Source organism: Homo sapiens, chromosome 6, assembly GCF_000001405.40.
Source record: "Homo sapiens chromosome 6, GRCh38.p14 Primary Assembly".
In the NCBI taxonomy this organism is placed as follows: domain Eukaryota; kingdom Metazoa; phylum Chordata; class Mammalia; order Primates; family Hominidae; genus Homo; species Homo sapiens.
This window is the reverse complement of record NC_000006.12, coordinates 53,326,346-53,347,810: the sequence shown is the minus strand read 5'-3', so window position 1 is coordinate 53,347,810 and position 21,465 is coordinate 53,326,346. Positions and strand designations below refer to the sequence as shown.

The 21,465-nt window shown below is 40.8% G+C and overlaps 1 protein-coding gene and 1 pseudogene across 6 annotated transcripts in view, besides 1 other annotated feature; both read left to right on the top strand.

Annotated features, from left to right (window-relative positions):
- The window catches only part of ELOVL5 (ELOVL fatty acid elongase 5), an 81,547-nt gene that overhangs the window by 1,140 nt on the left and 58,942 nt on the right, over positions 1-21,465 (top strand). The window lies entirely within an intron of this gene.
- RPS16P5 (ribosomal protein S16 pseudogene 5) lies at positions 10,194-13,351 on the top strand (annotated as a pseudogene). Its single transcript, NR_046241.1, has one exon. The product of NR_046241.1 is annotated as a ribosomal protein S16 pseudogene 5 (transcript).
- Positions 11,889-12,018: an enhancer, noted in NCBI's record as "active region_24697". NCBI's record gives its function as "activates an Ori minimal core promoter by ATAC-STARR-seq in GM12878 lymphoblastoid cells {active_cell/tissue: GM12878}" and the evidence as "EXISTENCE:reporter gene assay evidence [ECO:0000049][PMID:35858748]".

Here is a 21,465-nt window from a genome sequence, read left to right as displayed (position 1 = left end):
CAATTGTGAATTAAGCTCCTTGATTGCAAATTTGGAGAATGCATTTGGCCAGTTATGCAAAGTGGCGGAGGTGGCGGGGTCGGGGGCGGGGGGTCTCTTTCGGAAGAATCCAGTGCATGGTTTATTAGCTAGACTGAGGAACCGAGAGGTGCTAGATGGGATTTGTGGGGAGCGAGCAGCCTAATTTGTTTTAAATAGCGGGACCCGTGGCAGGAAGTGCTTCATAGAATTGTACGGAAGAGCTGATGTTGCTTGTCAGGTTTTGTAACTCATTCTCCTAACCGCTTGGCAGATAACCTGTTGGTCTGCACTTGTTTTGCTTGCACGTCTCAGCCAAAAGCATTTCGTGCAGAATCTACAGATAGAAACAGGCGGTTTTGCATTAGATGGCCGTGGACAAACATTTTAGCCTTCCATCTGTGATTGGGGACAAGTGGGTTACTTTTCTGGTAGCTCAGACACTGCCTGGGATTCTCCAGGAAAGCTCTGCACTTGAAAGGGAAATGTTACTCATTTTCCTTTTAGATTTTTACCCTAGATTCTAACTTCTTATTGCCAGGAACTTTTTCTGTACTGTTTCTCTTTTTGCATTTTCGTTTCTATTTCTAATTGAAGACAAAGGGGAAATTTTTATTGATAGTTACAGATAGGTAATGTTACAGAATGTAGTACAGAACTTTGCTGAAAAGCGACAGTAGAAGGCTTACTAAAATTTGATGTTTTTCAAGAAAAATATCTTGTAACTTCAGATATTGACCTCACCTCCTTGACTCAATTTCCTTGTCTATACATGGGGATTTTATGTGGCAGGATCATTGTGGATTTCAAGAGATAATGCAAATGAGAGCCCAGCATTGAGTCTGCCAAATGGTGGTTTGAAAATGTTTCCTTCCCATTCCCTGAAATCAACAGCTTCTTCTTGGTTACAGACCTTAATTTTTGGATGTTCTGTTTGCAAGAATCTTTTTTTCCACTACCTCTTCTTTTGCTCCCTGCATAATGGTTGCTTGTCTTCCTGCTTCTAGAGGTGAGCATCCATCCTTGGGTGTCTTATTTCCAGCTTGAATTACACAAATCAAAGCAAAACTGTTTACTTTTCTTGAGGGTAACTTTGGTGCCTAGGTGGGTAGTTAGTGTGAAGAGAGAGTTTTACCTCTTGCTTTCCTGGCTACATTCTTCTCTCCTAAAAGATTTTGTAATTTTTTTTTTTAATTCCTCCTCTTTGCCTACCAGCTCTTCTGTTATCAAAAGGCTAATCCTCTCATTAGTTACCTGTAAATAAGTCTTTCCTTGAATGCTTTCTGTGTCAGGTACTTATTAATACGCACATGTACATAAACGGTTGCTTTCCACACGTAATTCTTATAACACCTCTGTGAGGTTTTATCCCCCAGTTGTTTTTTAAGAATTGAGGAGCACTATGAAGACACATGCACACGTATGTTTATTGCAGCACCATTTACAATAGCAAAGACTTGGAACCAACTCAAATGCCCATCAATGATAGACTGGATAAAGAAAATGTGGCACATATACACCATGGAATACTATGCAGCCATAAAAAAGATGAGTTCGTGTCTTTTGCAGGGACATGGATGAAGCTGGAAACCATCATCCTCAGCAGACTAACACAGGAACAGAAAACCAAACACTGCATATTCTCACTCATAAGTGGGAGTCGAACAGTGAGAACACATGGACACAGGGAGGGAAACATCACACACCCGGGCCTATCGGGTGGTGGGGGGCAAGGGGAGGGAGAGCATTAGGACAAATTCCTAATGCACGCAGGGCTTAAAACCTAGATGATGGGTTGATAGGTGCAGGAAACCAGCATGGCACATGTATACCTATGTAACAAACATGCACGTTCAGCACATGTATCGCATAACTTAAAGTGGAAGAAAAATAAAAAAGAATCTCTAGGATTAAGGCCTAGAGATGACAAGTGACTTGTCCAAATTCCTATAGCTCTGTCTCCTGCAACATCTCTGCTCCTTCATATATCCCTGTGCTGCCAGGATTATTTGCCCAGTGGGCTCTGTGCCATTATGTAACACTGTTACTCCACAACTTAAAAATCTAACCTTGTGTTTAAAGGTTCTTGTTAATCCATCCAAGACTAACAATTTATTGTCTCTTAAATCTGTCTAAAATCTGTTCCCTTCCTTGTAGCCCACACTTGATTCATTTTTTAAATTAATTCATTGACTTCTCAGTTACTGATTTTGGGTGTGAGGGGCTGGATACAAAAATGAATTACAACAGTTCCTGATTCCAGAGGGTTTCCTGATTTAGTATATACTTTAAGCCTGTATACACATACTTAATCTACACCTTGGACCAAAAGAGAGTCAGAAGCAGATTTCTGGGACACTTATATCTTTATATCTGAGAAAGCTTTATGGCAGAGCTATCCATGTTAAGGGCCTAGCATTCCTGAATTGGTCAGGATGCTTTTGGTGCAAGAAACAGAAAACCCAACTGAGACCTACCTGTGCATCTGACCTGAAAAGTCCTGAGGGCAGGACTTTTGCTCCATTTCTCTGAAGTCCCCTCAGATGTCTGTTATGTCCTAGACTGATTTTCCAAGATGACTGACAGCAGCTGCCACCATAATCTCACATGGGGATTCCCTGACTTCCTGCCACCCTCCAAAGAGTCCTTTACCTTAAGGTGATTGACTTAGGCCTTGGTTACTTGAAGCAATAACTGGAACAGTGGACATTTGATAAGCTGGGGGCCCATCCCAGAACCAGGGAAGTGAAGTTAAATCTCCTCAGCTAGCTGCTTCACCTTTAAGAAGGGCCTGCAGAACACAGGAAGTCAGCTACAGCGTCTGTTTTAAGGACCGAATGGATGATTGGATTAAACTAAATTGACTTGAATTAAAATTAGAATTTAGCCTTACATTTTGTAAAGGACTCTTAGTTGATAGGCAGGAATAGGAGGACATGCGTTCTAGGCAAGAGGGAGTTTGGAGAGTAAGCGAGTGTGGAATCATTGGGCAAAAAGCAAATAGCACAATTGGCAGAAGCTGGTTTAGAAGGCAGGAGTGGAAGAAAAGGTGAGAAAGGCAAGTTATTGATGTAATAATAATGGCTAACTCTTACTGAGCTATTGTATGTCAGACCTTGCACTGAGCCCCTCACAAGGACTTATTTCTATTATTAATGGATGCTACAGCATTCCCATTTTACAGGTGGAAAAAGGCCCAGAGTTTAGACACTTGATTTGGGGTCACAAAGCATTCCAGCTCAGATCACCTTGACACCCTGGCCTGCTCCGTCTCCTAAGGTGTTTGGTAGAATACCACCAATAAGCTTTTGAATAAGAATGAGGACATTATGAGTGCTGTGCTCCAGAAAGACAGTCTTGTTAGAGTGTAGGGTGGATTGTTGTGGGTTTGTTAGAGATGGCCAGGGCAGTGAAAAGGCCTGACCTGAAGCCACAGCCATGAGCACAGACTTGAGAGAGGTAATTGTGAGAGACTGTGTCCAGGATAAGACTTGAAGACCAGTTGGATTTGAGGGCCAGCAAGAGGAGGGATACTCTTCCAAAGAGAAGAGGGAGCTTTGTGATCAGATGGAAATAGCCCCACAGCCTAGATAGATATCCAGACTAGCTGTTTCTTCCAATTCCTCCTCTTCACGGCCAACCTTTGTCTTAGCTATTTTTTTGGTTGCCTTTCTGCAAGAACATGTTTCTACCACATTTCATCTATTGTCAGCTTTTCACATTTCACATCTGGGTAGAGATGGAGCTTATAATCAGTGGCATCTTAAAATCACTGCAGGTAACTTTCCACATTTTAATATTACAGAATTGGGATGCCTCCTACACTTTTCCCTGGTGAGAAAAGGAAAGCCCCAATGTTACCAAAGGTGGTGCAGCCAGATGCTGGCAGAGCCAGGCTTCTGGGCTTCTTCCACCAGCTGGGTTACCTCTGCTCCCATGATAGTTATTAAAACACATGTAGCTTCACGTTACAGGTTTATAGTAAAGTACATACATGTTTGTGTGTTTATTAAAACTGAAGTAATTTGAGAAGATTGGAAGGCATGATTGTTTAAGTAGGGTGCCTCATTCTTGTATAGAATCTGGCTGCCTTGGTTTCTTGTCCTAACTTGAAGAAAATCAACTCTGAGCATTGGTCTCTTTTCCTTTAAAATGAAAGATTAAATTTTATTTTCATTTTTGCCTAGAGCAAATTTTATTTTTTATTTTTGTTTTGTTTCTGTTTGGCCAGGGATAGAGAATGAAAGTGAGATCATTTAGATCTTAGAAAGGTAGATGTTGGCTGGGCACGGTGGCTCACACCTGTAATCCCAGCACTTTGGGAAGCCATGGTGGGCAGATCATTTGAGCTCAGGAGTTTGCAACCAGCCTGGGCAATATGGCAAGACCCCATCTGTACAAAAAATACAAAAATTAGCTGGATGTGGTGGTACATGCCTGTAGTCCCAGCTCCTTGGGAGGCTGAGGTGGGAGGATGACTTCAGTCCAGGAGGCGGAGGTTACAGTGAGCCGTGATTACACCACTGCACTCCGGCCTGGGTGACAGAGCCAGACTCTGTCCCAAAATAAATAAAGAAAGAAGGAAAGGAGGGAGGGAGGGAGGGAAAATGTCAGAACAGTTGATGGAGATTGCAGCAGCAGCAGCAAGCTGCTGGTTTTCTCTTTATGAGATTAAAACATCACTGCTGGAGATGTTCTGGCCTATCCTGACCTGATTTTCAGTTTCTGCAATAGGAACCCTCACCACCAACCCCAGTTTCAACCCGTAAATGTTATTACCAGCCTTTTTGGTTCCCACTGGCGTGTTTGCTCCATGGTAACATTTTTAGTGGACTTGTAGGCATTCACTTTTAGAATTGTGTAGTCTCTGGATTTAAAATATTCATACTTGGTGACCTTTTAGAAAGACTAAATTCCCACTCTTGCTCCTCCATCCTCTTCTGCCAGTTCTGTGTGAAGTACAGTTGTAATTGCATTCAGGCATGAGTATGTCTTAGTATTCCTTATTATTAGATTGGACTTTTTTACCTTTTATTTGATGTCTGCTGGCTGACTGGGATTTAGGGAAAAATTTCTGATTTATTTTAAGATTTTTAGTGCTGATACTGGCATGCTTTCTCTAATTGGGAGAATAACAATTTTATTGAAATATACCTGTGATTTTAAACTGTAATCTTTATGGTTATATTAGGTAGGCACCCTCTTGCGAGCACAGGTTCCATCTCTGTTAAGTTCCACATTTACCCCATCCTTTTCCTCATGTCAACAATTTCATCCTGTCAGAATTAATCTCTTATAAGCCCATGCTGAACAGACCTAATTGAAGCCATGCTGGCGAATTGGCCACTCAGGTCTGTGTTTTATGAGTTTCTGAACCCCAGAGTAGTACTTGTTCCTCTTTGGTCTTGGCACAGCAAATGCTACAACAAAGTGAGTGTTATGAATTTCTCCTTCCCTGAAGAATAGTTCTCATGATACCAAATTCAGTAATTATTCATTTGCTTCCAGGGGAGTTTGAAATGTGATGTATCTCCCTAGGGGTAGTATTCAGGGTACTTCTGCTTCAGTCTTTGGCAGAAGAAATAATACTTCAATATTTACAGAAGTCGTTGACGCCTCCATCAGCTGTATTTGTTAGAAGCATCTGTGTGAAAATTTGAGTTTGCTTCTGTCCGAACTTCTGCATATTAATCTCTGTGATGGATCTGAGGTGCATTTAAAAGAATACCTCCTGTACTTCTTTTAAGTAAGGACAGCTGTGGGAAGCAGATTGGGTTGGCAGCCTGCACCTATGCGGGGTTCCACCTCTGCCACTTAACAGCTGCGTGGGCTTCAGCAGGTAAGTCACTCTACCTCCTTGAGACCCTAGAATCTATGTAGAACTTGGAAGGTGATAATCCTGTGCCTACTTTGGAGGGTATTAAAACTATCAGTATTGTACATGAAAGTTAGGTGGGGCACTGACTTAATTTAATTAGCATAGTAAAAACGTCTCTCTGTTATATAGGATGTTTATTGAAGCATTGTTTCTAATAGCAAAAGATTGGAAGAGTTAGTAGACTAAATGTCCTTGAAAAGAATAAATCATGCTACAGCTGGGCAACGGAATATTCTGCAAATTTTAAAGAGAACAAAGCTGTTCTATGGGTACTGAATATAGCTGCTTGGTACCACATAATAGGCACTTTTCTGAAGTGTTCAACATGTATTAATTCATTGTGGCTTCACAAAAGCCCACGAGGTAGGGACCCCAATTTTACAGATGAGGAAACTAAGATAAAGGTTAAGTCACTTGTCCAAATATCCACAGCTAGTAGGTGGCAGAGGCAGGATTCAAACCCAGGCAGATTGGCTTAAAGACTCTAATCTTGGCCACCCTGCTGTGCTGTACACCTGTCAGACCTAAGTAGTGATCTTTGTATTTGCAGCTTTAGATACATGAGAGGAAACAAGGTTGAGTTTCTTATTCATCGTTACATTCTGGGAGGCTGACGGTATAATCAACATATAGCTTCTGTTGACAGTAACTAAATAAAGGTTTAGATAAAGAAAGCTAATAGGGAATAACATTTATGATCAATACTTGAAAGGGTGACCGTTTGTTTCTTCCATTACTCCTTATTTTAGATATTTTGAACTTAAACCTCTTTTTTGGGGAAAATCAGAAGCGTACACACTGAATAGCTTACAATTGTTAGTGTAAGAAATCAGTGTTCAAAAGCCCAGTTGAGTCAGTGTTCACTAGCCTGACTGGTCTAGTGTGGCTGGATTAGTATGACTGGCCAAGGGCATCCAGCATTGGTTTCCTTACCCGGTCCTAGCCCCATCTGGTTTGATTTACAAGGTATATACGCTCAGAGAAATGCAGACGGGAGGGAAAGACACTCACATTCTTTAGGGAGCCTCTATCTCCAGATTGCCTGATCTCCCTTGGGTGAAAATGTAAGTCAGGTGTACAAGTCGTACAAGTCATGTATAGCTTGACAATGGGAATACTTTTTGAGAAATGTACTCTTAGGCAATTTTGTTGTTGTGTGTTCATCATAGAGTGTACTTAGACAAACCTAGATGGTTACCACATACATAGGGCATATGATATACCACATTGCTCCTAGGCTACAAACCTGTACAGCAAGTTACTGTACTGAATACTGTAGCTAGCTGTAACACAGTGGCAAGTATCTGTATATCTAAATGAAGAAAAGATATAGTAAAAATATAAAAGATAAAAAATGATACAACTATGTAGGGCACTTGCCATGAATGGAGCTTGCAGGACTGGAAGTTGCTCTGGGTAAGTCAGTGAGTGGGGAGTGAATGTGAAGGCCTAGGACTTTACTGTACACTCTAGACTTTATAAACACTGTATACTTAGGCTACATTAGGTTTATAAAAAATATTTTTTGATTAGGTGTGGTGGCTCATGTCTGTAATCTCAGCACTTTGTGAGGTTGAGGTGGGACCAGGCATTTAAGACCAGCCTGGGCAATATCACAAGACTCCATCTCTACTTATTTATAATAAAAGTTTTTTTAAAAATATGTATTATTTTAATATATATTTTTCTTCCTTAATACATAAACTGTAGCTTATTGTAACATTTCTATTTTATAAATTTTTTAAACTTTTTTACTCTTTTGTAATAATACTTAGCTTAAAACACAGGCTGTATGGCTGCAAAAAAAATATTTTATTTCTTCGTATCCTTATTCTTCAAGCTTTTTTTCTCCTTTTAAAGTTTTTTAAACTTTTTTGTTAAAAACTAAAACAAACATACACATTAGCCTAGGTCTGTACAGGGGCAGGATCATCAATGTCACCGTCTTCCATCTCCACATCTTGTCCCACTGAAAGGTCTGTAGGAGCAGTAACACACATGAGCTGTCATTTCCTATGACAACAATGCCTTCTTCTGGAATACCTCCTGAAGGACCTATCTGAAGCTGTTTCATAGTTAACTTTTTAAAATATGTAATTAGAAGGTGTACACTCAATTAATGATAAAAAAGTATAGTATACCAAATACATAAACCAATGACATAGTTCTTTATCATCAGCATCAAGCATTATGTACTGTCCATAATTTTATGTGTGATACTGTTACAGGTCTAGCTATGCAGTAGGTTTATTTACACCAACATCACCACAAATGTTTTATTGTGCTATGATGTCACTAGGCAATAGGAGTTTTTCAGCTCCATTATAATGTTACAGGAGTATCATTGTATATGTGGTCCATTGTTGATTTAAAGGTCATTATGCGATGCGTGACTATATTTTGAAAACATTCTGATAGAGAATGACATTAAGTCATTTTGATACAAGGCCCCATTAAGGGCCACTGTGCTGGGCCATGGTGTTCAGGCTATAGACAAGTCTGCCACCACCTTCAGTTCTCTTAGGATCCTTAGACTCTTTCAGAACTGAGTTTTCTTTCTGGGTGTGGGACACTAGGTTTGGCAACATTGTAATGGCTATAAGTATCAGCATTCCTAAAATAAGAGAATCACAAAATTCATGGGGTGGCTTATATATTCACATGGAATCTGAACAGGTGATAAAACAACTGTTGGTTTCAGAGACATGCTATAGAGGAGATGAATACACAGTTGCTAGACTGTGTGTCCCTTTGAAAAATGCTGTATTGTAGCAGGATTTTCCCCCATTTTTTACACATTTAACTTTGCTTCTCCCTCTCCTCACTCACCCTCACACCCAAACAACAGTTATAAAATGTGGGCGTGTAGATTGAGTTTTAAAAAAGAAATGTGTTTTTGTGTTATATGCCTTATTTATGTTACACAGGCTTGAATTAAAATCTTTTAAGACATTTTCGTTTGGGGGGTTGCATAACTAATCTTTATTATGTTTCTCCACCGTCTTTTAATTTCAGCTTAAGGTATCACTGCCTTTGTATACTTTGCACAAATTAGGTTGGAGAACTCAATTGATAATTTCCTCAAATGATAATTTATTTTGAATATTCAAGTAATCACATCAGTTAAGAGACTGCACTCAGATAAGAACCATCAGCAGTTGCCTGTAGCAGAAAATGTTGCTTAAAAGCCTTTTGAATATTTGTCTCCCTGTTATTTGCAATTGCAGTCTTTTGGTTTAGATGTTTAGAATATGATTGAAGTAGAGCCCAGACTGCTTAAGCTCAGGCTTTAAGGGAACCATTAGAGGCGTGTGTAGTATCTTGGTGTCTGTTACCTACCTTGGCCATTGATTGTCTTCTCTACAAGATGCTTCATCCAAGAAGGAAGTTGCCCTTTGAAACAGGTGCCCTTTGAGCTTCTCCAGAGAGACCCATAAAGACATTATCCCAGGACCTCATGTTTCTAGGAGAATGTGATAAATATTGTGATGGTTTCATTTTCAGAGCAGCTGCCTTTTCTTCCTTTTGCAAGGAGTAGGAACAAAAGCAGCTTCTTTTTGTTTCCTTTGCAAGGGCTTAGAATAGGCTCAGTGTGACCCAAGGGAAGTTGGATGTGACAAGTGACAGTAAGGTAAGTACTTTTCATTGACCCCCTGGTACAGAGTTCAGGCTTGAACTTACCATCTTTTTAAGAAATGGGACTGGCGTATTAAATTTAAAATGTAGGCAAACAGTTGCAAAGTACTGTCAGAAGACCAAATCTCATTGCATGATCTACTTGCCCCATGGATTCAAATATCCATCCACCCACCCACCATCCACCCTTAGATATTTATTTCTAGCCCATCTATTTCTTTTGAGCTCCAGACTCATAACTTTTCATCGTTGGGTGCCCCACATACCTCCCCTGTTGGCCAACGTAGTCAGGAGCACCATCCTCCGCCAGTTTGCCCAAGCCATTAAGCTGGAAGCAATGCTTGTGTTCTCCTCTCTCATCAACCATGCTTTTACCAAACTTTGCTCAACTGTCAGTCACCAAGTATTACTCATTCATACTCTCTGTCCTTCTAAGCTTATTCCCCTTCCCCACATTGCCCCAGCCTTCCATAGCATGTCAGATCCTTCCTGGACAACTACAATTTCTCCTTGGCTCCTTGCCTCTGTTTTCTTGATTCCTAAAAATTAGATGAGGTTGTACCTGTATAGTGCTTTGCATAGTGTCTGCCATGTTTATCTGGCACATAGTGTAGGTATCTAGCAATTACGTGCCTGAATGTTTCTCTAAATACATATGTACCTTTCAAATATAACCAGTCCTATAATATGTGCTAATGGCTGTGTGAAGCTGAGTATGCCTTGATAGCCTGAGAATACATAATGTTTCACAAATGAAGAGCTTACCTGGGCAGGAGACTTTAGAAGGCCAGTTGCCTTGCTTCCAGCTGAAGGAGTAGAACACCAGCAGCTCTCAGACCATACAAATTGCTAGACACCTTTTCCTGTTGTGGCATGGTGCAATGAGGAGCTCTTACCTATGCCTGGAGACATGCCATCTAAGGACTCGTTGGCTGCAGTCTGTGCAGATCTTCACATACAAGGAGATGGCCATAGCTGTGGTGCTCTGCAGATGTGGCAGTGGCTTCATCAGGATGAACGAGGGGCCCCTGGAGATGATCAAGCTGCTCACACTGCAATACAAGCTACTGGAATTAGGTCTGCTTCTGGACAAGGAACAGCTTGCTGGAATGGACATCCATGTTCGTGTGAAGGGTAGTGGTCATGTGGTTCAGATTTATGCTGTCCTTCAGTACATCTCCAAAGCCCTGGTACCCTGTTACCCAAAATATGTAGATGAGGCTTCCGAGGAGATCAAAGACACCCTCACCAGACCTTGCTGGTGGTTCACCCCTGTTGCTATGAATCCAAGAAATTTGCAGGCCCTGGTGCCTGTGCTCACTACCAGAAATCATAGCAGTAAGCCCATCAAAAAGATCAAGGTTTACCTTTATAGTAAACAATGGTTGAAGGTCTTTAAGGTTAAAAAAAATTGCTAGACATCCCAGCTGCCCTAGAAGCAGAGATGACATGTGCTGTTATTTTAAAGGGCCTTGCTTACCTGCATATTACCTGTTAGGGCTTTCAGGTAGAATATACCAATGATAGACCAGTCTGGTGGCACTGTTCCCAAGGACGGAATAGGGTGAACTTTGATGTCTAGGCACTCAAATACTCCATAATAAAATGATCATGGAAACTGGCAGTCTTACTCCAATTGCCCAGGATGGAGTGCAGTGGCACCATCTCAGCTCATTGCAGCCTCAAATTTCCCAGGCCCAGGTGTCCCTCCTACTTCAGCCTCCTGCATAGCTGGGACTACAGGCAAGCACCACCATGCCCAGCTAATTTTTTATATTTTTGGTAGAGACAAGGTTTCACCGTGTTGCCCAGGCTGGTCTTGAATTCCTAGGCTCAAGCAGTCTGCCTGCTTCAGCCTCCCAAAATCCTGAGATTACAGGTGTGAGCCATTGTGCCTGGCCTGGCCCTCTTATTTAACCTTGTTTTGGTTGGCAGCAACATTGAGCCCAGGCTAAAGTACACCATACATGTCGGACAGAGCTTATCTGCCTCAGTAGCCACTTGGTCAGTATTTGTTGATCACTTAAACCCACTCAGTGTTGGTCATTTGTCTGTGTTAGCCTCTGCTAAGGAATGTGGACCCTACACGTGACAATACAGTTACCAGTAAAAAGACTCAGTAGGAATTATGAGGTATATACTCGAATCAACAGGTAGTTTATTATTATACTACGGGTATGGCTGTGTATGTTGCAGTTAGGTTCAGCTGCAGCGATGGACATGCCAAAATAATAGTGGTTTGAATAATGGTATCCCAAAACAAAGTAGAAGTGTGTATCTCTTATGAAAGGCAGGGTGGATGGTTCAGGGCTAGTATGACCCTGCGTAAATTCCTTGCTCATCATACGTCTGTCAGGCTTAGTGTGGCCTCAGTCTTCCGAGCAGCAGGATGTAAGAAGAAACAGAAAGTAGAAGCGCGGATGGTGCTTTCTTTTATGGGAAGTTCCCAGAAACAGCCTCCAGATAACTTTGCTTACATCTCATTGGCTAGAACATCACCCCGTGGCTGCAGGTGGCTGGAAAATCTCATCTTTATTCTGGGTGGCCATGTGCAGCTAAAAGTACTGCTACTGTTTATAGAGTTTGGGCAAGAACCGGCTGTCTGTGCCATGGGTGGTAGACGAGACCAGCAGTCCCCACTCACTTGGAACTGAGAGTCTGGGGGAAGGATAGTGACAAAATAAACAGATACTTACAGTGACAAGGCCTCTGAGAGGTCTGCAAAGGTGTGCCCTGCGAGTAAACAGGAAGGACACCTAAATCAGACTGGTGGGGTGGGGGAGGGGATGAGGAAACGTTGCCTAGAGACTAAGCAAGAATCTCTCTGGACTGAGGAAATGGGCAGGGTATTGAAGCAAAGGCTCGGAGGCAAAGGGGGCAGGTAGTTGGGTGATGGAGGAGCATATGAGGAACAGAAAGTAGACCAGGGAAGCCAGAGGGAGACAGGGTTCTGATCACATGGGCCCTGGGGCCACAGGGACAGGTTTGGTCATTTTCCCCGGAGCCTTTGACTGGTTTCTGGAGGTGAGTAACCTAGACAGGTGCTTTCAGGGGGTGAGGAGCAGCACAAGACTAGAGGCAGGAAATATCCACTGGGAGAGAGTGTACTAATCTGGTTGGGAAATGATGGTGGCTTCAGCTACATAGTGGCTTTGGGGATCAAGAGAAGTGGATGCAAATCCTGTAAATCCCATAGAGCTTGGAATTTAGAAATAATTTGGCCTTTTCACGTAATAGGTGATGAAACCAAGAATGAGAATTTAAATGGCTTGCCCAGAATCACACAGCTAGCTGTGGAGCAGCACCAGATATCATTTCTCTATCTAACTCTTTCCTTTATGTCACTGTTGAATGTGCTGATTTGGGAGAACAGGGCATTGTGGGCATTTTGGAGCCAGCAACAGGACCTGAATCCTGGTGTCCATTGCAGAGGGAGGAGTCCACCCTGCTTTGGGGGCTGGATTCCTGGTAAGGTTATGGGGCAGGTCACAGAAATGAGGGAGTTGGAAGGAAAAACCAGGTGTGAGAAGATGATGGATTCAGTTTTTGGTTTGTTGATTTGGAGATTCAGGACCACCATCTGTAGGTGGAGAGAGATCAGATGGAAACTGGTCCTTGAGATTGGAATTGGGGATGCAGGATTGGGTGGAATTGGTCAAAACTTTTCTATACCCTTTCTTTAAATTTCTCCAGTGAAAGGGACTCAGCAACTGTTTTTGAGTCCATTGTGTCATGTACCTTAGAATTAAGAGATTTTTCCAGTGTTTAGCCCTGAATGATTTTTGCTGCAATTTGAATTCTGTGCAACCACAGAGATTTAATAAAAATAAAATAGGTTAATACTTAAAAATTAGTAAATTAAAATAAATTAAGTAAAGATAAAAGTTATATGGCCCTCCCTTGCATATTTTACCCTGTGCTGCAGGTCTTCTCAGGAGCCTCTCTGGCTCTGGTTGGTCTCTTGGTCCAGGCTGTGGCCTCTGTCTCTTGGGTTTTCATACTGTAAGATTTCTCCAACTGAGTTTGGGAGGCTGAAGCCCCAAACAGAACTTGATGGCTTGTGCTGGAAAAGGGGAAATGGGTTCTGCTTGCTACAACGTGTTAAATTCTGTTTTTAAAATGTCAGTTTGGCATCAAACACTTTTTTAGACATGTTTACATCCTAAAAGTTTTTGGTTTCAGAAGTTTTTTGTCCTTCACAATTAACTTGGTTGCAGTGATTAAAGTATAGCCTATTTCCTGGGAAATAGGAGACAATTTCAGAGCCACTATAGACCATATTGACATTAGAGATTGTAGGATACCATAGACAGGGAGGTCAATAGACAGGCAACGTGGTATCATAGTTGTTTTATCTCTCCCTGGTCACTGTCCTTCTACCTAATGTTGTTTCACCGTGGAATTTGAGCTTACAGGTGAAAAAGACTTTCAGTGAATACTGCACCAAGTATAATTTAAAAATTTTAAATCCTATATAGATATGGGGCATGACTAATAGAGTAATGACTTCCATAAACCACACATGAAAACTGCTTTAATTATAATTATCATTACTTTTATTCTCCAGAAAGGGAAATAAGGTTAAAACAAGAGAGCCCATTCATTCTAAGTTGACCAGTTAAATTTCTTGTTCTCCCTTCCCTTTGTCCTTTGATTTGATAAAAATAAGATTTTTGTGTGCTAAATTGTGAGTATTCATTTACATTAATCAGTATCCCTATAAGACAAAGCCCCTGAAAACATAAACTGAGTGCAGCACGATTTAAAACAGAGAGGGAGGAGACAGTCTTGGTCCTGTTCTTGGTGCCCTGCTCATTACTAACGTCTCAGTTGTACTGTCCACTATAAACAGTCATGATTTTTTCCCCCATTCTTCAGATCAAGTCAGTTTCCTCTAATGAGACAGTCTACCTGGTTTTATAGGCATTTCTCTGTAATGTTTTCCAAACGAAGAAAGCAAACAGCAAGCATTTTGTTGGGAGAAATCTGCAAGTGTCTGTTCTGTGGCTGTGAACTAATGATCTTTCAGAGGTCTAGTTTAAAAGCACTGAGTTTCTTCATGACCCATGAGGATATGTAATCCACCTTTATAGCAGGTAAGTGTTGAGGTTCACACAGGATTAACACTCTCTTTAACACTGTTCTCTACACCGTTCTCTTGCAAAGGGATACTCTTCCCAACCCTGAAAGGCATGCTTGGAGAGGTGGAGTGTCACTCCCAGATTCTTATTTTAGAGAAGGGAGTGTCATGTAATTTTCTCCCTACCTTATTTATTCATTCTCTCCCCTCTCCCCCTTGCTGACCTGCTTTTCTTCCTTCAGCCAGGTCTTCGCTTTAAGGAGTCAGCTGAGCTTCAGCCACTGATGCTGGGGGCACATAGTGGCCCAAGCCACCCTGTAGCTGTACCCTTTTGGGGAGGGTGGCTTTCGTGTTTTTGTAAAGTTTTTGAAGAACCTCTTACATGATACAGTTTGAACTGATTAGCAAACAGAGCCAAAGAAACTAGTACCTGATGAAAACTGACTGACATGGTAGGCAAATGGAAAGTTTGGTTTCCAAAAAGTGTGTGTTGTGGCAAGTTGAAGTCAGAAAAATGAATTTTTGACTTTGATTCTGAGTGATCACTCCTCTACGCACTCCCCTTTCTCTTTCTCTCCTTGTCCTCTCCATTTCACTCCCTCTCCATTCTCTCTCCGCCTCTTTTCCCTCCTCCTGCTCCGTTCTGTGTATATGTTTGTATGTATAACACTTCAGCATTTATGTAGTGGTTGATAATTGAATACATTCTATTTGCAGTACTACCTAATGTGATTTAACCACAGGAAACTTGCTTCTCTCATTATTTATGATTTTAAATTTTAGTTTTTGGTAATTAAGTCTCCATGAGGAGCGTCCTCATTTGGAAGGAGAGTTAGCATCATGCTGTGGCTAAAGAAACTCAGTTTTTATGCCTACCAATAATGTGAAAATCACCTCACTCCTGTTTGGCTGATTGGGTTGAATTTCTCTTAATACCATACTGAATGTAACTTGACGAGTTAGTAGGGAACTGGTAACAACTTATTTCACAGAGTATTTCTAGTTATTGATGTAGTTTGGGTGTTTGTCCCCTCCAAATCTCATGTGAAAATTTCATCCCCAGTGTTTGAGGTGGGGCCTACTCGGAGGTGTTTGGGTCATGGAGACGAATCCCTCATGAGTGACTTGGTGCCATCTCATGGTAAAGAGTTCAATGTGAGATCTGGTTGTGTAAAAGAGCCTGGCATCTCTCTCTTGCTCTTCTTTGTCTTGCTTCCTCTCTCACCATGTGACACTCTTGGTCCCCCTTCACCTTTCACAGTGAGTAAAAGCTTCCTGAGGCCCCACCAGAAGCAGATGCTGGCACTGTGCTGCTTGTGCAGTCTGCAGAACTGTGAGCTAAAATAAACCTCTTTATAAATTACCCTGTCTCAGATATTCCTTTATAGCAACACCAAACGGACTAATACAGTTACAATATATTTAGTGTAAGATTTATTCATTATAATTAGCTTATTTCCAAAATGACCATTTTAACAAACTTCAAATATTTTGAGTGTTAGATTTTTAAACTCGGTGTACTCCAAGTTTCATTTAACTGCTAAAGGACAAGTTTAGTCATACACTGCATAACCATATTTTGGTCAGTGATGAACTGCCTATATAATGGTGGTCCCATAAGATTATAATGGAACTGAAAAATTCCTCTTGCCTGGTGAAGTAGGGGTCATCTTAATGTCCTAGGGCAGTGTATTACTTATGTGTTTGTGGAGATGTTGGTGTAAACCTACTGCACTGCTAATTCTATAAAAGTATCACACATACAATTACGTACCATATACAGTGCTTGATAGGGATAATAAACAACTATGTTACTGGTTTTTGTATTTACTGTACTTTTTATCATTTAAAAAATTTTTATTTATTTATTTTGGAAATGGGGTCTCGCTCTGTCATTCATGCTGGAGTGCAGTGGTGTAATCACAGCTCACTGCAGGCTTGATTTCCTGGGCTCATGCAGTCCTCCCACCTCAGCTTCCAAGTAGCTGGGACCACAGGTATGTACCACCATGCCTGGCTTTTTAAATTTTTTGTTGAGATGGGGTCCCACTGTGTTGCCCAGGCAGATCTTCAACTCCTGGGCTCCAGCAGTCCTTCCACCTCGGTCTCCCAAAATGTTGGTATTACAGGCATGAGCCACTGCCTGTCATTATTTTAAAGAGTACTCCTACTTAACCAAAAAATAAAGTTAATTGTGAAACAGCTTCCGGCAGGTCTTTCAGGAGGTATTCCTGAAGAAAACATTGTTATCACATGTTATTGCCCCTGAAGGCCTTCCAGTGGGACAAGATGTAGAAGGGAAGACAGTGATATTGAAGATCCTGAGTAGGCCTAGGCTAATGTGTGTGTTTCTGTCTTAGTGTTTAAGGAAAAAAAAAGTTTTAAAAGAAAAATTAATAGAAAAAAGCTTACAGAATGAGTATAAAGAAAATAATTTTTATGCAGCTGTACAATGTATTTGTGTTGTGTTAATTACAAAAGAGTCAAAAGTTAAAATGTAAAAGTCTGTAAAACTCATGAACAGTGGCATGCACCTGTAGTCCCAGCTACTCGGGAGGCTGAAGAGGCAGGATCACTTGAGGTCAGGAGTTCGAGGCTGCAGTGAGCTATGATTACACCTGTGGATAGCCCCACTGGGCAACATAGACTCTGTCCCTAAAAAAAAAAAAAAAAAAAAAAAAGTTTATAAAGAAAAAAATGTTACCATAAACTAAGGTTAATTTATTATTGAGGAAGAAAAAATTTTAAAATAAATTTAGTGTAGCCTCAGCATAGTGTTTAGCCTCAATGTAGTATTTATAATGTCTACAGTGTGCAGTAATGTCCTAGGCCTTCATAGTCATTCACCACTCATTGACTCATCCAGAGCAACGTCTATTCATGGTAAGTGCCCTGTACAGGTGTATTGGTTTTTATTTTTTATATTCTATTTTTATTATACCTTTTCTTTGTTGAGCTATACAAATACTTGCCACTGTGTTATGGTTACCTACAGTATTCAGTATAGTAACATGCCAAACAGGTTAATTGTAGCCTAGGAGCAATAGGTTGTACCATATAGCCTGCATGTGTAGTAGGCCATACATCTAGGTTTGTGTAAATACACTCTATGATGTTCTCATGATGAAATCGCCCAGTGACATATTTCTAAGAATGTATTGCCATTGTTAAGTGACGCGTCTGTAGAAGTTCTTTATTTTTAAAGTGTATTTGGGTTATTTGCCATTAAGATAAGAAGCTAAATATATAATGTCTTTTTAGAAATAAAATCGTACAGAAGAGGAAAATTCTACGTGCAGTTTTTAATACAACAGCTCTCAAACTTTTTGGTCTGAAGACACACTATTCTCTCTTTTTTATTTCTTATTTTTTTCTGAGACGAAGTCTTGCTCTTGTCCCCCAGGCTGAGTGCGATGGCATGATTTTGACTCACTGCAACCTCTGCCTTCTGAGTTCCAGCAATTCTCCTGCCTCAGCCTCCCAAGTAGCTGGGATTACAGGTGCCTACTACCATGCCCGGCTAATTTTTCTATTTTTAGTAGAGACGGGGTTTCACCGTGTTGGCCAGGCTGGTCTCGAACTCCTGACCTCAGGTGATCCACCCGCCTCAGCCTTCCAAAGTCTTGGGATTACAGGCATGAACCACTGCACCTGACCGACATAGTATTCTTAGACAAAGTGGCTTGAGAGAAAAACATTTAAAAAAGCAAAAGGAAAAAAAGATAAGATTTGCGCTATTAAATGTTACTGAGAAACTCAAAGAGCTTTTGTTTATGTGGATTATATCTATTAGTATTTACCTTATTAGAAACCAATTTTAAATTGTTTTAAAATATAGGTTTAAAACAATTATGAAAACATTTAAAAATAACTAACCTACTGTATGATAATAAAGTATATATTTTTCAAAATATATTTCAAAATATAAAAACGTATTTTTCAAAACTTTTGGTGACAGTGAAAAAGTAATCTCGTAGTAGCAGTAGCAGTAGCAGTAGCAGTAGTAGTAGTAGTAGTTAGTTATACTTTATATATATAGTACTAAAAGTACTTTATATACTACTTAGTTATAAAAACATTTTTCCTTCTTGCTTCAGCAGCCATTGCCTCCTGTTTCCTTCTGCCTAAATAAATTCTGTGTTTTATGCCACAGGCTCTATGTGTGTCACCTTCACATGTGAACTTCACCAGGTGGGCTGGTTTTGGTCTTTTTATCAAATGAACATATCTGTAAGGTACTTTTTGTAGACAGGACAGTATTTAAAAGCAAGCTTATGTCCACTTAACAACACTGGTTGCTTGCTTTAGTGCTCTGTGGTAAGGCTGTAGTGGTCAGTTTTTAAAGTAAAAACCCAAAACAACAAGGAGTAAACGAAGAGATTAAGGTCTCAGTGTAGCATTAATAGCTTTTTAGATGTTCATTTTATTTTTTTTAATTCATCCCTTTCTCTTTGCTATCTATACATTACAGTATTTAGGCTTCCAGACTAGCAACCTTTTGGAATAGTTTTAAAATAGCTGATTTCTTTTTTGTTCCTGTCTCTTGGATAGATACTGCTTGACCTTTTTTTAACTGTTGATTTTGGATAATGCCTTTGTTTTAATAAAAAATTGCTGCATCATGTCCCACATCTCCATCTTGTTTTATGTAACCATTTAACCTTTAATTCTATGTGTTACAAAAAGATTTCCTCTGGCCTTTTGTGTATAATGTCAGATCAACTAGAGCTCTACTTTGGGGACTGTAAATAGAGCATTAGCCTCCTCTTGATTTTACTCTAAGGAATTCTTTTAAGATTTTTATAACCTCAGATTCTTTGATACCTGAATCAGGTACCAGTACAGTTGAGCTACTGTATTTCCAGATGCTCAGATTTTTTTTAATGGGATATATTTTGCACTATCTAATATAGTAGTCACTAACTACTACTAGTTTTTGAGCATTTGAAATGTGGTTAATACAACTAAGAAACAGAATTTTTAGTTTTTCATTTCAGTTTACTTAAATAGCTATTTGTGCCCTTGTCTGTCTCATTGGGCAGTGCAATGCCAAAGGTATCTGGCAGTTTCTTTTTAAATTTGTAGGTTCATTCATTCATTTTAACAAGAGTGTTTTTTTATATGTGTGGTAGCCGGTAGGTTTTTTACTATCTGTGGTTGTCTTATTGCTGGAAACGGAACTAGAGGGATACAGGAGGTGGAAAAGTGGAGGCTATTGATAATTGGCTGACTTTTATGGGGTCTTGGGATCATTGTAGATGAGATTTGAGGGGAAAATAAAGTTCAGGGAAGGACTTTTAGGTTGAACACTGGAGCTGATTTGTCAGCAGAAAAAAAGCATCCAGTCGAGAGAGGAAATGGAAGGTAAAAGGCAGATGGGAGATGAATAAATTCTTGAAAGAAACGGGAAAAGATCCAGAGTATAAGCAGAACGATGGAAAGATACTGTATGAATTGGAAGGGTGAAGAGGGACTTTTAAAAAAAGTTATTTGAAATTTTTCAATTGAAGTGTAATTTACATTATATAAGCCATTTTTAAATGTTCAACTCAGTGGCATTTAGTACATCCACAGTGTTGTTTGCCACAGTCACCTCTAATTCCAAAACATTTTCACATCCCCAAAGGAGACCACTGCCAGTTAGCAGCCACTTGCCATTCTCCCCTCTCCTGAGCCCCTGACAACCACCCATCTGCTTTCTGTCTCTGTAGATTTGCCTATTCTGAATATTTCCTATAAATGGAATCATACAATATGTGACCTCTTGTATCTGGCTTCTCTCACTTAGCATAATGTTTTCAAGTTTCATCCACCCCTGCTGTAGCATGTGAAGAGTGACCATTGAAGGAGGAGGACTTTTAAGGGATTCATAGGGACTGTCCAGATCTCAGCAAAACCATCAATTCTGCTTGTTGGATTTACCTAGCAGTGAGGCACCACAGGGGTAGGTTGGGCATCAGGAGTATTTGTGACTATAGCTTCCAGCCTGAGTAAGGAGGGTGGGGACAAAGATCTGCTTTGGTGATGGCAGATTGCCTACTAGGGAAGGCAGACAGGAGGAGTGAGTGGATAGAAACTTGTCAGAAGAGGGAGCAGAATATCCTGTTTCAAAGGATTTGGGTCCATTTGGGGTCCTAAGTTAGAGAATGCATGTGGAAACATGAGCTCATCTAAAGTAGGGTCATCTCATCTGTTTGTAGGTCAGCGTCACCCATAACTGTCTGCTGCACTAGTGGTGGACACACAGTTTCTAAAGTTGCAAGCAAGGTGAAAAGTTCTGTAATCTTGCCCTGCTGGGTAATGGTGCCAAGCGCCTGTTGTGAGTGCCTCCTGCTCTGCTGGAAGCATGGTGAGGGAAAGCAGACCTTGGGTTTTTTTCTGCTTTCTCGTGAAGGCCGGTATGGCTGAGTCACCGTACTTGCTGGTGCCTAGGGCAAAACTGCTTTCCAGGCTGCTTTCCAGCCTCACAGTCATCCCACAGATACATAACGCCTCAAGGACTTAGATGTTAACCACAGGTTAAATAATTTGTATTTGGAGTATGATTAGAATGTACAGAGAGGGACCTAACCTAGTCTGGGGCTCTGCGGGAGGAATCAGGGAAGATTTCTCTGGTGTGCACAGATAGAGGGGAAGTGGGACAGGCGGGTAAGGGAGCTTTCCCTGCTTGGGAGCTGCCGGAGTCAAGGACACACTGCAGAATGTGAAAAGGAAACGGGTGGGGTTGGGGGCAGTGAGCAAGAGGGGACGGCAGAAGTTGGGCTAGGGAAAGCAGGTATGGGCCTGGGTGTGAAAGGGCCTCTAAGCCAAGTGAGGGATTGTAGGCTGTATCCAGAGAGCAAGGTGACAAAAA